The 16225-nt window shown below is 37.8% G+C and overlaps 1 pseudogene; it reads left to right on the forward strand.

Annotated features, from left to right (window-relative positions):
* The first annotated feature begins 4053 nt into the window (after positions 1–4053).
* Positions 4054–5069, forward strand: LOC112268217 (histone H1, gonadal-like; annotated as a pseudogene).
* The last annotated feature ends 11156 nt before the right edge of the window (positions 5070–16225 follow it).

Consider the following 16225-nt stretch of genomic DNA (forward strand, 5'->3'; position numbering starts at 1 on the left):
CATTTCATCATTTCACTTCATCTCATTATTTCATCATTTCATCTCATGATTTCATTTCATCTCATTTCATCATTTCATTTCATTCTTTCATTTCATTTCATCATTTCATCATTTCACTTCATCTCATTTCATCATTTCATCTCATGATTTCATTTCATCTCATTTCATTTCATCTTTTCATCTCGTCATTTCATTTCATCATTTCATTTCATCTTTTCATCTCATTTCATTTCATCAATTCATCATTTCATCTCATCATTTCATTTCATTGTTTCATTTCATTTCATCATTTCATTTCATCACTTCATCTCAACATTTCATTTCATCATTTCACTTCATCTCATTTCATCATTTCATCTCATTTCATCATTTCATCTCATGATTTCATCTCATTTCATTTCATCTTTTCATCTCATCATTTCATCTTTTCATCTTATTTCATTTCATTTCATTTCATTTATTTCATCATTTCATCATTTCATTTCATCATTTCATCATTTGACTTCATTTCATCATTTCATTTCATCATTTCATATCATTTCATCATTTCATCTTTTCATTCCATCATCATTTCACTTCATTTCATTTCATTTCTTCATTTCATCATTTCATTTCATTTCATCCTTTCATCATTTCATCTCATCATTTCATCCTTTCATTTCATTATTTCATTTCATCATTTCTTCTCATCATTGCATTTCGTCATTTCATCATTTCATCATTTCACTTCATCTCATCATTTCATCATCTCATGATTTCATTTCATATCATTTCATCTTTTCATCTCGTCATATCATTTCATTTCATCTTTTCATCTCATTTCATTTCATTTGATCATTTCATCAATTCATCATTTCGTCATTTCATTTCATTATTTCATCATTTAATCATTTCACTTTTTATCATTTCATCATTTCATATCATTTCTTCATTTCACCATTTGATCTTTTCATTTCATTTCATCATTTCACTTCATCATTTCATTTCATCATTTCATTTCATTCCCTCATTTCATTTCACCATTTCATCATTCCATTTCATCATTTCATTACATTTCTTCATTTCACTTCATCTCATCATTTCATCTTTCATTGCATTATTTCATTTCATTTCATCTCATCATTTCACTTCATCTCACCATTTCATCATTTCATCTCATCATTTCATTTCATCATTTCATCTTTTCATCTCCTCATTTCATTTAATCATTTCGTTTCATTTCACCTTTTCATCTCATTTCATTTCATCATTTCATCACTTCATCATTTCATTTCATTATTTCATAATTTCATCATTTCACTTCATTTCATCATTTCATTTCATCATTTCATATCATTTCCTTAATTCATCATTTCATCTTTTCATTTCATCATTTCATTTCATCATTTCACTTCATCATTTCATTATTTCATTTCATTTCACCATTTCATGTCATCATTTCATCATTTCATTTCATTTCATCCTTTCATCATTTCATCTCATCATTTCATCATTTCATCTCATTTCATTTCATCATTTCATTTCTTCATTTCATCATTTCATTCACTTCATCATTTCATTTCATTTCATTTCAGTGATACATGTATTTAAGTGCTAATGCGGTGCCCAGGAGACACCCTATTTCCCTTTGTAAAACACCTCCTTCAACAAAAGGCAACCTCTCATGGCTGGCTAAGTCTACAGGGATACCAGCCTCTCTTCAACCACCCAATTTCATTTAGAACCTCAAACAGCACCTCAGTTTCATAAAAACCTAAAACATAAACACAACACTTGGTTGTAAGTGAGCCAAGTTTCTTGCCTCTTTCTCTGCTCAAGGCTTAAGGCCGTGTCTCCCCAACTACGTTCAGTGGAAGAAAAGATCCCCTGGACAAATAAGTTTGAGAACTGTTGTTACAGGAATTCTCAGAACATTTAAAACACAAATCCTCATCCGCAGGGATCTTCAGGAGGGAGATGGCTGATGCAGCACAACTTTCTTTCACAGAAGTATCTTGCAGAATACAGTATGAGATACAGAAAGGCTGCATTGAGTCTTTTTAATGGCTCGGGCCTTGGTGGGGGTGGGTAGGAGCTCTCCAGATAGCATCTAATGAGTAGGAACATTCGGGTGGCTTTTTTTTTTTTCTTTATTGGCAAAACTGTGTGTGCACCATGAATGAAGCTGGTCTCCCTTATCCATATCAAAACTAAACCCAAAGTAATTGGCTAAATTGGGACTCAACACCTCCAGGAGCCACGTGGCAGAAAGCCCCAGCACACTTTAAAGTAGCTTACCTCATCATATTTGAGGAAAGCAAAACACTTATGACCAGTATGCTGCTAATACAAGTCTACAGATAATGCTGTATGAAAAATTAGTTTTCCCAGTCATAGCTGGCATAGTCCACATTTTGCATTACACTTTCCCCCCTTTTTTTAAATTTTAAGCACAGGTCTTTTACTCTTCTTTTGTTAAATTTTAATTCAATTATACAAGACGGAGTCTCAGTATGTTGCCCAGGCTGGTCTTCAACTCCTGAGCTCAAGGGATACATCCGTCTCCACCTCCCAAAGTGCTGAGATTACAGGCCTGATACACTGTGCCTGGCCTTAAACACAAATCTTAATTCATTCTTACAATTATTCTGAGGTTAGAAAAATGGAAGGGGAAGAAAAATGGCAAGCAGGTAGGCTGACTTCGGCTTCATTATCTGGAAGGACAGTTTGCTCAGTTAAAACACACTACTGCCCACAAAGGCCAAGACAACAGAAAAATACAGACTTATATAAATAGATTTTATATGTGACAGCAGTTTGAATGGAGACTTTTTCAATGCAATGAGAAACAGCTGTGCTTGGGAATAAATGACAACGAATTTTTTTATCTCAACAGCTGTCCTGAGAGCATGTCTTTACATCTCTACCTGCATTCTGGAATCAGGGAGAAAGCCAAAACGGATGACAAGACACTAGATCAGCCGTGTCCAACCCTTTGACTACAAGGACTTTTCCGCCTATCTGTGGTGGTGGGTATCATGAAAATTATGCACAAACTTTTTTTTTTTTTTAAGCTCATCAGCTGTTGTTAGCATTAGTGTATTTTATGTGTAGGCCAGGAGCATTCTTCTTCCAATGTGGCCCTGAGAAGCCAAAAGACTGGACACCTGTGCACTAGATCAAAAGGCTACTCCTTCTGGAAGCAACTGTAAAGAATTTCTGACATTATCTTGACATGAAAACCAATGGATAGTGGGACAGAATGCAAAATCTTCAAGAATTTTTCTTGTTGGTTTTTTTTTTGAGTCAAGGTCTTGCTCTGTGGCCCAGGCTGGAGTACACTGGTGAGATCACACAGCTCAGTGCAGGCTCAAGTGCTCCTCCCACCTCAGCCACAGTAGTAGCTGGGACTACAGATGCGCACAACCACCCCTGGCTAATATTTTATTTTTTGTAGAGATGGGGTCTCACTATATTGTCCAGGTTGGTCTCAAACTCCTTGACTCAAGGGATCCAGGATAGGATAACAGGTGGGAGCCACCACACCTGGCCATGTGCATGAACTTTTAAGACAAACACAAGGCCCCACAAAAATTAAGGTTTTTCCCACCTAATTTCCAGGGGGATCTTTTGGTGCAAGGCTGAGAAGCCCTTAAAAGTACACAGACAACTGCAAAGATTCAAGACAGTTCATTTGGGCTGAGCCAGCCCACTGGGCAGACTGACCTTCAAAAAAGGCCCACCCATGACATACACCAGATGGCTCTCCAAGAATCTCTTCAGTCCTCAGGGTCCCTAAGGTACTGGACAGAGCTAGGAAAGCAAACCCATTTGCTTCTTCCTGCAGGGAACCCCTTGAGGTCAAGACCCCACAATCAGACGAGGATGGAGTGGCTCACCCTCAGTCAACAGGCCATACTCACGGTGGTATAATGTCTTAACCAAGGGTGCGGGCCTCCAGGTCTGACTCCCAACTCAGTTCTTCTTTAATAACCACACTTTGTTAATTCTCCTTAACAGGGGTTCCTGGCAAGTCAGTTCTCCCTCAGGCCTTCAGTTTCCTCACCTTACAAGATGAGAGGGCTGGATCAGATGGAAATTCAGGGGGTAAGGGGATATCCGCGCGCAGCCCACCCCCGCCCCCACGGGACCCTGGAGCCTCCATCCCAGTTCCCACCACGCACCCGCCCCACAAATCCTGCCCAAGGTGAGGGCTGGTCCTGGGTCCTCTGGCTGCTGCATCAGCGAGTGCAGGAGGGAGGGGAAGCCTCCAAGGGGGTGACGCGGGCTCAAGGATGCAACTCAGCCAGGAGTGAACTGGGGCCCTGAGGGAGGTGTCCAGGCCACTCCTGGAGCCCAGCCTGGGTCCCCGAACCCCTTACCTCCAGGGTCCGTATCTCCTGCTGGGTGAGGTCATTGGACACAGCGCACTTGGTGCACAGCCCGCACAGGCTGCCAATGAAGATGACAATGAGCTTCTGGAGCTGCCCGCACTGCTGCAGCACCCGGCTGGGAGCGACCCCTGAGCCACCCTCCGCAGCTCCCGCATCACCCCCACCACCGCCCTCCTTCTTCTCTCCCATCGCCTCCGCGCGCAGCGCCACTCTATGCAGGCCACAGCGGCCTAGGCAGGGAGCCCGGGGCGCAGGCGCCTAGGCAAGGAACCCCTGAGCCAGGAGAGCTGGACCAGGGGCCCTTGCCAGGACGCCAGTAGAGCTGGCAGCCGAGTCTGCCGCTCCCGCCCTCAGAGCCGCGGCGGCGGGGACAAAAATCCTGGGCGGCGGGGGCAAAAAGCCGCGGCGGGAAAAAGGTGCGGCGGCGGGGGCAAAAAGGAGCGGCGGCGGGGGAAGAAGCCGCGGCGGCCGTGGAAAAAGTCGCGGCGGCAAAAAGCCGCAGAGTAGGGGGCGAAAAGACGCAAAAAGCCGCGGCGGCAAAAAGCCGTGACGGCTGGGAGCAAAAAGCCGCGGCGGCGGGGGCAAAAAGCCGGGGCGGCGGGGGCAAAAAGCAGCGGTGGCGCTGACAAAAAGCCGCAAAAAGCAGCGGCAGCGGGGGTAAAAAGCTGCAAAAAGCCGCGGAGGCGCGGGCGATAAGCCGCGGCGGCGTGGAGCAAAAAGCCGCGGCGGCGGGGAGCAAAAAGCCGCGGCGGCGGGGGCAAAATAGTGGAAATGGGGTAGAAGGCCCGCACAGCTTGGCATTGCTGGGGTGTGATGTGATAGGAACAGTGAAGCTGAAGACAAAAAAAAAAAAGATGTAAGTAGGCTTGACTCAGTGCAGCTAAGAACCCAGATGTTATCTTGAGGGTATTAACTAATAAGCAGTTTAAATCAGAATGGCACATTCTGATTTGTTTTTTGTATGTTCACATTTGGCAGGCATAGATACTGTTTGAAGAGAGGAAAGTCAGTAGATAGAGGTAACAAAGTTAAATATGTGCCAAGTCTAGAAACAAGAGACTAGGGGTATAAGGACCTTTCAAAATAAAATGCAAGGTTTGAAAACTGATTGGCTGGGGGATGAGGAAAAGGCAGGTCTTTAAGGTCAATCCGTGTTTTGCTTTAAGTTGTTAGCGGGTGGTTTTATCACATATTGTAGAATATGTCATTTCAGTTTTGAACATCTTGAGTTAAATTGTGCTAACATGTTATGAATTTGATTTTCTTCCCTGGGAAGCTAATATTTCAAAAACTTATAGATTTCCAACTTGTATCCAATTTATAAAATTATCTCTAGGCTGCTGGTTTCAGGAGGAGGCTCATGAATATTCTATTTGCAGAGAATATATCAGGAGTTAACATCAGCGTCAATATTTGTGAATGACCAGTTAATTAAGCCACCTCTTAATGTATTTAGATGGGAAATCTTAGCTGAAGATATTCAATAATGAACCAACAGTGACTAAAAAATTCAATATTTAAGTATATTTCATTGTAATTAATTTGAATTAAAGTAGCCATATACAGCTAGTATTTACTACATTGAACAATGCAAATAAGAGGAAAAAATTAACCATCTCTAATACCACATGCCAAAATCCTCATCAATTTATTCTAGCTAAAGGAGTTTATCAGAAGCAGCAATTGAAAGCACCAACTAAACCAGCTGGGGTTAATTCACTGTCATTCTCTCAGAACCATCTCTTCTCTGAACAAAACAAGTAGAAGAGTTAATTGTGAATCTGCATTTTCCTTGCTATTTTAAGATTTTGATGTTGACACTAATTTGTGAAATCCCTCCTGTGGTGTGATATTTTGTTTTCCTTGCTTTTTGTTAGGACAAGAATGCTTCAGCTCTTAATTTAAAATTATGTTTCTCCCTCCTAGATTGAGTGAACTTAGAATGCATTCTCTGACATATCCAAGTTTTTGTTAATATGAATTTGGGGAAAAAAGCATACTTAATTAGCTAAGACTTCTTATTCTAGGCTTGACCCTGTGTTCGACATCTTTTGAATTTGTAGTTGCATAGGCTGCTCTCTGACACTGGTTAGTGACCTGGAAGCTATATTAACGTTAGGAGAGGTGGTGTATGAGCATTAGAGATATCCTTGCAAGGAAAGACTTGTCGTATGTCAACACGTCTTTTTTTTTTTGCACACAAGAAAGTCAAAGTTTGAGTCTTCTAAAATCTTCCCATTTCCAAGTTGCAGAGTACCATTGATTCCTAAACAAAGATCTAATTTTTGACTCAGAGACGTGGCAAGGTAGTGAATCACCATTATAATTTAACAATCTTCAAGATAAAATTATCTCTCTGATATTTAGATTTTGCCCAATTATTAAGATATTTGGGTGTTTCATTAAGAATGGAAGACTCTAGTCTCTTGAGCAGAGACTATAAAGGCCTCAGATGATCATTTATAATTTTATGCTCTTTTCTTTAACATCTTCAACACAGTTGGAAGCAGCCAATATTCCCCAGAGTTGTTGTGTTTTTTAAACAAAATGCATGGTTCAGTGGTAGAAAACTGGGCTGATCCAAGATATTTTCACTAAACACTTCATTTCAGGTGACCTATTTCATATTAAATAATCTCTAGATCCTGTCTTCAAAACTAACTAGATCAGATAACCTACCCTAGATTTTCCCCTTTTAGAGTCTGTTAGCTGCGGTCACTTTTGTGAAAATGATTGCAATGAAAAGATAGAGTTGTAGATGGGGAAAATGTTTTGACTAATTTAAGCATAGTGGTATTTAATATGAGAATTTAAGTTACACATTTGAAAATTATAATGGAGTCTCTTGGCTGAGCTTTAAAAAAAAAATAGCGTTTAGGCTAAAAAGGGAACTGCTACCTCTCCTAAAATCAGAAAGATGTTACAGTAATTCTCCATTCTCTAGAATTATCAGGAAGCACCTTTGTGATGATTTACTTTTGCTCTTGGGAGTGTGAGCCTGTGTAGTCATGGAACCATCAATTAGAATGATGGCTTTCTGATCCCAAAGTCATTCGTTCTGAAAACAATATTTTTCATAAATTTGAAAGTGAGAAGTTTTGATCTTGCCATTCCCAAGTAACTCTCTTAATAAGAGGCATCAGCATGCTTCAGTGACAGCTGTCACCTCCCAGTGCTGAGAGTCATCTTTGAGTTCTCCATTTCACTCCCTACACTCCAATTTAGCTGCAGTTCTCTTGGCCAATCCTATGAAATACATCCATGGCCTAATGACTTCTCACCACTAATACCACTCATACTAACAGCATTCTCACCTAAGTCACTACCTTTTTTCTCTGGATTACAATAGCCTCCCAATTTACTTGCTCACATAACCTATTTATTCTACACAGTGCACCAGATACACCCCTTTGAAATGCAAACATGATCATATTATTCTCTGGTGAAATTATCTCATATATTCCTATCGCATTTAAAATTCATTCAGAATAATCCCATGATTATCAAAACCCTGCTCTTCCACAACATGGTTTACTTCCAAGATATCTCTTCAACTTTTTTTTCACTGTACTGAATTGGTGACTCATAGTCATATTTTTGTTTTTGCTCAAAAAGTCTTGACTTGTAAATTTTTCAGTTTCTCCTTTATCCACAGGTAACTCTTTCCTCATAAGGCAAATTGCTTGCTTCCTTGAGTTCTGCTCTCAAAGATACCCTTCATTTTCTACCTAATATTAATAACTTTAATCATTCATTATTCTATTACTATGCTGTATAGTGTATACAATTTCTGTTCTTTGTCATGTTATTAACTAAATTATTTATCTGTTCCAGTAACGTATTCCATAAATATTGTACACATAAAAATTATGTTATTTTTATTGCTGTATGCTCAGCTGCCCAATAGCAGTTTGAGGATTAACATATTTGTTAAATGCACAAATGCATTCTTTCACAAATATTAGTTTAATAATTTTATATTAAACTCCCTATATACTTACAATATGAATTAGATAATTCAGAATAAATATTCCATTGGAAAAAACTAAACAATTTGTTATAAAACATCCTTAAAAGCATCAGAAAGTTAATAAAGCAATGAAGAATTACAGGACCAAGTTAAGAATGGTATGGAAGCCTGTTTGTGAGGCTTATGTTTGGGTTATCTCTTTACTTAGAGTGACTATAAATCTCAAAAGAGAACTAAAGGGAGAAATAACCATATCTACTCACATGGTAAGGGTATTTAAACATCTCTTAGTAATTGAGAAAATTGAAAGAAAAGAAAAAAGAGAAAGGGAGAAAGAGAAACAGAGCGAAAGGGATAATGAAGGAGAGAAAGAAGAAGAGAAAGGAAGAGGAAGAAAAGTAAAGAGGAGGGGGAGGGAGGAAGAAAGAAAGGTGAAAAGAAAGAATGGTAAAGTTTTTAACAACATAATTTATCCTTATAGAATATGAATGTTGGTCTACTTGATGATGTCCCACAGATTCCTTAGTCGCTGTTCATTTTTTATCTGTTTCTCAGAGTCAATATTTTCCATTATCTTATCTTCAAGCTCATGACTTCTGTGTGTGCAAATATACTCTTAAATCCCTCCAGTGATTTTTTAATTTTTATCATTGTAGTTTTCCACTCCAGAATTTCTGTTATCTCTTTGTTGATATTCCTACTTTTTAATATTTTTTCTGATTCCTTTATTTCTTTGTTTATGTTTTCCTTTTGACATTTGAGTATAATTAAGAGAGTTGTTTTAAAGTCTTTGCCTAGTAAGTTTGATGTCTGGGTTTCCTTAGAGATATTTTCTGTCAATTTATTTTGTTCCTTTCAATGAGCCATACTTTCCCGTTCTTTGTATGCCTTGTAACATTTTTTGAAAACTGGACATTATAGTAATTATAATTACTATGTGGTTACTCTGTAAATCAGACCCTCTCCCCTTCAAACACACTAATGTTTTGTGGCTTTAAATTTGCTTTACTTATTATATTGTTAAGGTTTTTATTTTTAGTGAATTTTTCCAAAGTGATTTACAAAACTGTTTGCTTTATAAGGTGTGGTCTGAAGTCTTTTTATTTCCTTAACAGATGTTAAGCTAATGTTTTGACAGTGATTTTCTTGTATATCAGGAACTAAGCAAACAGAAAAATACAACAAAAAGAAAAAGAAAAACAAGTAATCATTATCCAGCAAAATATGTCTCTAGGCCATGCAGACTGGCTTTGTGCTGGGTTCCTTAAAGCCGGCACAAAGTGTGTGTTCACTCTTGCACTGAGTGAAGTTCAAGTTCACTCTTGCACAGACCTTGCACTGAGGGGAGGGATCAGCCAAGGTAAAAGTGCAGGGTCTTCTTATGACATTTGTCAGCATGTGGCTTAACCTATGCATACATGTGACATTCTAGACTCTCCCATGTACGTGAATGACTTTGAATGTCTTAGTTTTCCAAATACTCTTCTCCAACTTTTCTTCCTGTGCTGAAGGTGATCTATTATATGTGTAAACTCTAATTTTTGCCCTAAGCATCTGTGGTTTGTTAGGTCTCCTTGCAGAGTTTCTTGATAATATCCATTCCTTATCTGTTCTGTATTCTAGCAACACAGAAAAAGAAAAGCCTTTCATTAGTCCTTTAGGTATGCCCCAGACCAGTCAGAACAGACACATAATAATTTGCGGGTAAGATCTTCTCTTTTTCCTTTGGACCATGGACCAGGGTTCCTCACTGGGAACGTGGGCTTCTGACACTTCAAAACTGCCAATTTGCTGGGGCAAAGGCAAGTTAAAAATGTCATAAAGTTTTCAAGTTGTCTTTTTCTTGAATCTGCTTTCACTTGGTTGTTGTAATCTTTTGACCATTTTCCAGAGTTTTAGCAAAGTTTATTCGGACAGTTTCTCTTTGTTGTGTGATGTTTCTGTGGGGAAATGAAAGATTGCAGCTGTCTCCACTGCCATTTTGCTGATGCTCCTCTTTTGTCAATTTTTGCTTCATGTTATTATGCTTTGTTATTAGTTCATGTATTAGTTTTCTAGGGCTGCCATAACAAAGTAACACAAACTGGGTGCCTTGAACAACATACATTTATAGTCTTATAGTCCTGGAAGCTCAAAGTCTGAGATTGAGGTGTCAGCAGGGATGGTCCCTTCAAGGGCTATGAGAGAAAGTCTGTTCTGTGCCTTGTTTCTAGCTTCTGGTGGTTTAGTGGCAGTCTTTGGCATTCCTTGGCTACTCTCTTCCCTCATAATCACATGGTACTCTCCCTGTGTGTATGTCTCCCTCTACTCAAATTTCTTTTTTTTATAAGGACATCAGTCATATTGAATTCAGGCTCATCTGATTTTATCTTAACTTGATCACCTGCAAAGAACCTTTTTCCTAATGAGATCATATTCAGTGGTTAAGATTTCAGCATCTATATAGAGGAAACAATTTAGCTCATATCTGTGCATACATGATTGTAATAGCTATGTCTTCCAAAAGCGTTGACCCCCTTGTTACTACTGTATAAATTTTTAAAATCCTATTCACATTTTTAATAGTCTCTATCGTGTTTTATGAGTATAATGGGTTCAGTGTTCTTATGATTGCTTTTGCATGATATTTTTTGTCATCTTTTTACTTTCAATCCATTAGTATCCTTGCATCTCAGCGTATATTGGGATCACTTGTTTTAATCCAGTCTGACAATCTCTGCCTCTTGATTAGATTTTAATCTGCTCACATTTAATATTATAATTGGTATAATTCTATTTATGTCTACCATTTTGCCGTTTGTTTTGTATATTTCTCAAATATTTTTCTTTATTGCTTTATTTGGCAATGAATGAATATTTTCTAAAATAGGGAACTTTAGATTACTAATGAATTATTTTACTATATATTTTTGAGAATTTTTGTTGTTTTTGTAAGTTTACCATATAGGTATATGGAAAATTAATTATTCCAATTGTCTTCCAATTTATACTAGTAAACTTTTAGTAATACATAGAAATATCATTCTTATACAAATCTTTTTTATTTCCTCCATTTTAAAGTATTATCCCTTTACACATTACATCTATTAAAGTTACAAAGCCAACAATACATTTTAGTAATTATTACTTTACCATCTAGAATGATTACCTTATCACAATATATTTTTCTTCCAACTACCTCCTTTTTGATGTTACTGGAAAATATGTTATAGACGTATTACATTTCTACATGTCAAATACTCAGCAATACATTATGCACATATTATTATTATCATTGAGACGGAGTCTCCCTCTGTCGCCCAGGCTGGAGTGCAGTGGCACAATCTCCACTCACTGCAAGCTCCATCTCCCGGCTTCATGCCATTCTTCTGCTTCAGCCTCCCGAGTAGCTGGGACTACAGGCGCCCGCCATCACGTCCAGCTAATTTTTTGTATTTTTAGTAGAGACGGGTTTCATTGTGTTAGTCAGGATGGTCTCGATCTTCTGGCCTCATAATACACCCGCCTCAGCCTCCCAGAATGCTGAGATTTCAGGCGTGAGCCATCATACCCGGCCATTATACACATATTTTAAAAACAATTTATGATAAAGAGAAAACACACATTTCTACTGTGTTTTATAATGTTAATGTTACCTATACCAGTGCTTTTTTAAAAATGTGGATTCAAATGACTGACTTGGGTAACTTGCTTTTAGCCTTAGGAATTTATTTTAGTGTTTTTTTTTTTTTTGTATGGTAGGTCTGCCAGCAACAACTTCAGTTAATATTTCTGTTTATCTGGGTAAGTCTTTGTGTTATCTTCATTTTTGAAAAATAATTGCTCATTAAGGAATTGGTGGCTGACAGCTTTTTTTCCTTGCATCTTTTGAATATATTATTCTACTGTCTCTTGCCTTCCATTGTTTCTGTTAAGTCAGCTGTTAATCTTACAAAACATAGGTGCTCAAAAAATAAACATGTGCATGAATATTTACAGCAGTAATATTCATACAGTCAAAAAGTGGAAACAATCCATATGCTTGTTGACTCATAAATGAACACCCAATATTCAGCTATAACAAAGAATGAAGTACTTATACATAGTATAATATGGGTGAAATTTGAAAGCATTATGTTAAATGCACAAAAGGACAAATATTACTTGATTTTATTCGCATGAAACATCAGGAATTGGCAAATCAATTGGGATATAATTCAGATTAGTGGTCATTAGGGATCAGGGAAGCAGAATAGGGTGTAACGACTTTATGCATAATGGGTTTTTAGAAGGGACATGATGAAATTGTCCTGGAACATCGTGAATATACTAAAAACAACTGCATTCTTTGCTTTAAAATGGTTGTTATTAATTTTATATTATGTGATTTTTACCTTAAAAAACAAAAAAGAGAAAATAGCCTTACTCTATACATAATAAACTCAAGATGTGTCACAAATTTATATGTGAAATCCAAAATACTATATTTAAGGAATAGCTAAGTAGAATAACACTAAAATTTAACATAATGAAATATTTTCTTAAAAAAGAAAAAAGCACGGTAATTAAAAAGGGAAATATACTTAATATTTTTTCTCTCCATTAAGCATACCATTAACTGATTAAAAAATCAAGCTGCAATTATGTAAACTACATTTTCTAAAACCATAAAGAAAATAAGACATGAAAAGGAATTTGGGGAAAAAAATCCAAAGGTACAGTCAACTACACAAAAAAAGCTTAGTCTCATTAATCACTATGAAAATGCAAATTGTAATTAAAATAAGGTAAAACTACAATTCAAAGAGAAAGCCTAAAATTTCAACCCCCAAAAAATTCTGGGTTTTGGAGAGCTGGGATGGAATAGGGCTCCTAACCTTACAACAATGAAAGAACCAAACTAACTTCAAAGTCATGACTTTATTTTTATAGCAACCAGGTTGCCAAGAACTGAATCAAAATGTGAGGGAAAGCAAGCACCTGCAAGGAGAAAGAGGACAGATGCACTTACATAGGACAGATGCAAATAGACACCACTATGACAAGTAAAACTGGAATGATCAATAAATTCCTAAAGACAAAGTGGGGCTGGTGGCATTGGGAGATGGCTGACAGCTGCAGAAGTTGGGAAAGATCCATCATCTTGAAAACTTTTTCCCCACAAATCCACTGTGATCTCTCAAGCAATTGGTAAGGAATCCAAGAGAGTCTGTATATGATACAGATCAGGGAGAGCAGAACACTTGGGAGGTGACCAGGTCTTGGGGGCCGAGCCCTTATGAATGGGATTAGTGCCTTTATAAAAGAAGCTCAATGGAGTTCTTGTGTGCCTTCCACTATGTGAGGACATAGAAAGAAGGCACCATCTATGAACCATGAAATGGGCTCTCATCAACACTGAATTTGTGAGCAACTTGACCTGAGATCTTACAGCCTCAAGAAGTGTGAAAAAAGAAATATGTGTTGTTTTTTAGTCACCCGGTTTATGTTATTTTGTTATAAGAGTCCAAATAGACCAAGATATTCCACTTAATATGTAGGGGAAGGCAACCAAAACTGCCACACTTAGAATACTCCTGATGCTGGAAGTATGAAAACAGGAAAAACAAAACAAAACTGCTCTTGAAGGTGAAGGAGGAATATCACTGAGCTCACCAACACAGCCAGGAAAAGAACAGAAGTGTGAGAAGGCTACATTCCTGAGACCCTGAGAAAAAGTACCTGCATAAGATTGAGATGAAATTACCTACGCTAGTTATAACTGAAATCCCAAAAAGAAAAGAGGAAAAAATAATGGAGCAAAAGAAATATTTTTCGAAATAACTGCCAAAAATATTCTAAAAGAAGTGACAGAAAATCAAACTTCAGATATAGGAAACTCAGAGAATGTCAAATAGAACAAAAATAAATAAGAATTAAATCTTGAAAAATCTTTAAAAAATCAACTCTAAATTTTATATCTTGCTCCAAATATATAGAGATATAAATAGGTTATCATCAAGATATGGAGAAAGCCATATCATGGAAACACTAAAATAAAGCTGTGGAAGGACTACATTGATATTAGACACAACAGAGTTCAGAACAAGAAATAGTATCAGAAATGAGAGATAATAGATAATATAATAATCAATTCTCAAGAAGATGTAAACATCCTACTAATTAGGGTATGCAGCTAACAATAGATCCTCCAAATACATGAGGTAAAACAGGAAAGAAATCGAAGGTGAACTAGAAAAATCCAAAATTATATTTGCAGACTTCAACACTTTTGTCTTAGTAATGGACAGACTAGGCACAAACTCAATAATCATATGGAAGATAAGAACAAAAATATCACCAACAAGACATCCAATCTTCAATGGCAGATACTCTTTCCTTTCAAGTGAAAAAAAAAACAGTATGGCAAATTCTCTAACAAACCCAGAATTTCTAATATTTGCCGTCTTCCTTCCTTCTTTCCATCTTCCTTTCTCTTCTCTTCCCTTCCCTTGCCTTCTTCCTTCCTTTCTTCTTTTCCTCTTTTCTTTTCTCTTTTCCTTTCTTTTCTTTCTTTTTTCTCCTTCCTTTCTTCTTTCCTTCCTTCTTTCTTTCCTCTTAGTCTTCCTTCCCTCCTCCCTCCCTTCCTTTCTCCCTCCCTTCTTTTCTTCCTTCTTTTCTCTTATTCTTTCTTTCTCACTTTCTTGCTTTCTTTCTTTTTTTCTCCCTTCCTCCCTCCTTTTCTTCCTTCCTCCCTCCCTTCCTTTCCTCCTTTTTCCTTTCTTCCTTACTTCCTTCCTTTTCCTCTTTATTTTCTTTGTTTCTTTGCCTTCCTCCCTTTTACCATTCTTTCTTCCTCCTTTCCTTCCTCCCTTCCTCCTTTCTTTTTCTCTCTTTCTTTCTTTCTTTCTTTCTTTCTTGTGTTCTTGCTTTCTTTTTTCTCCCTTCCTGCCTTTCTCCCTTCCTCCCTCCCTCCCTTCCTTCTCTCATTTCCTCCTTCTTTTCTTTCTTCTTTCTTTCTTTCCTTCCTTCCTTCTTTCCTTGCTTCTTTTTTCTTTCTTTTCTTTTCTTTCTTTCTCTTTACAATTCATATTATTTTAAAAAATTAAGAGAGGGAGGCAGAAAAATAAAGAACACTTTAATCTGCAGGTAAATAGATTATGTCTGGTGTAGACAAAAGAATGGCCTCCCAAAAATGTTCATGTCCTAATTCCCAGAGTCTAACATACAAATATGTTAGGTTGCATGGCAGTGGGAAATTAGATTTCAAGTGAAATTAAGTTTGCAATAAAATGATGGAGAGATTATCTTAATTGGGTGGGATCAATGAAATCACAAGCTTCCTTATAAGTGAAAGAAGAAGGCAGAAGAAAGGCAACCATGGAGGTGGTGGCATGAGAAATTACTCAACATCACTGACTTTTAAGATACAAGAATGAGGACCCAGCACGGTGGCTCACGCCTAATCCCAGCACTTTGGGAGGCCGGGGTGGGTGGATCACGAGGTCAGGAGATCGAGACCACCCTGGCTAACATGGTGAAACCCCATCCCTACTAAAAATACAAAAAATTAACTGGGCATGGTGGCACATGCCTGTAGTCCAAGCTACTCAGGAAGCTGAGGCAGGAGAATCGCTTGAACCCGGGAGGCAGAGGTTGCAGTGAGCTGAGATCATGCCACTGCACTCCAGCCTGGGCGACAGAAGGAGACTCCATCTCAAAAAAAAAAAAAAAAAAAAAAGATATAAGAATGAGGTCATGTTCCAAGGAATAAAGGTGGCCTCTGGATGCTGAAAAAAATCAAGTACATAGATTCTGCCACAGAGCCCTCAGAAAGACTGCAGCCCTGCCCAAAACTTGATGTTAGCCCTGTGAGTCTCATTTAAGGCTTCTGAGCTCCAGTACTGTAGGATTACCAGTCACT

Source organism: Homo sapiens, chromosome 18 (assembly GCF_000001405.40).
Source record: "Homo sapiens chromosome 18, GRCh38.p14 Primary Assembly".
Lineage (NCBI taxonomy): Eukaryota > Metazoa > Chordata > Mammalia > Primates > Hominidae > Homo > Homo sapiens.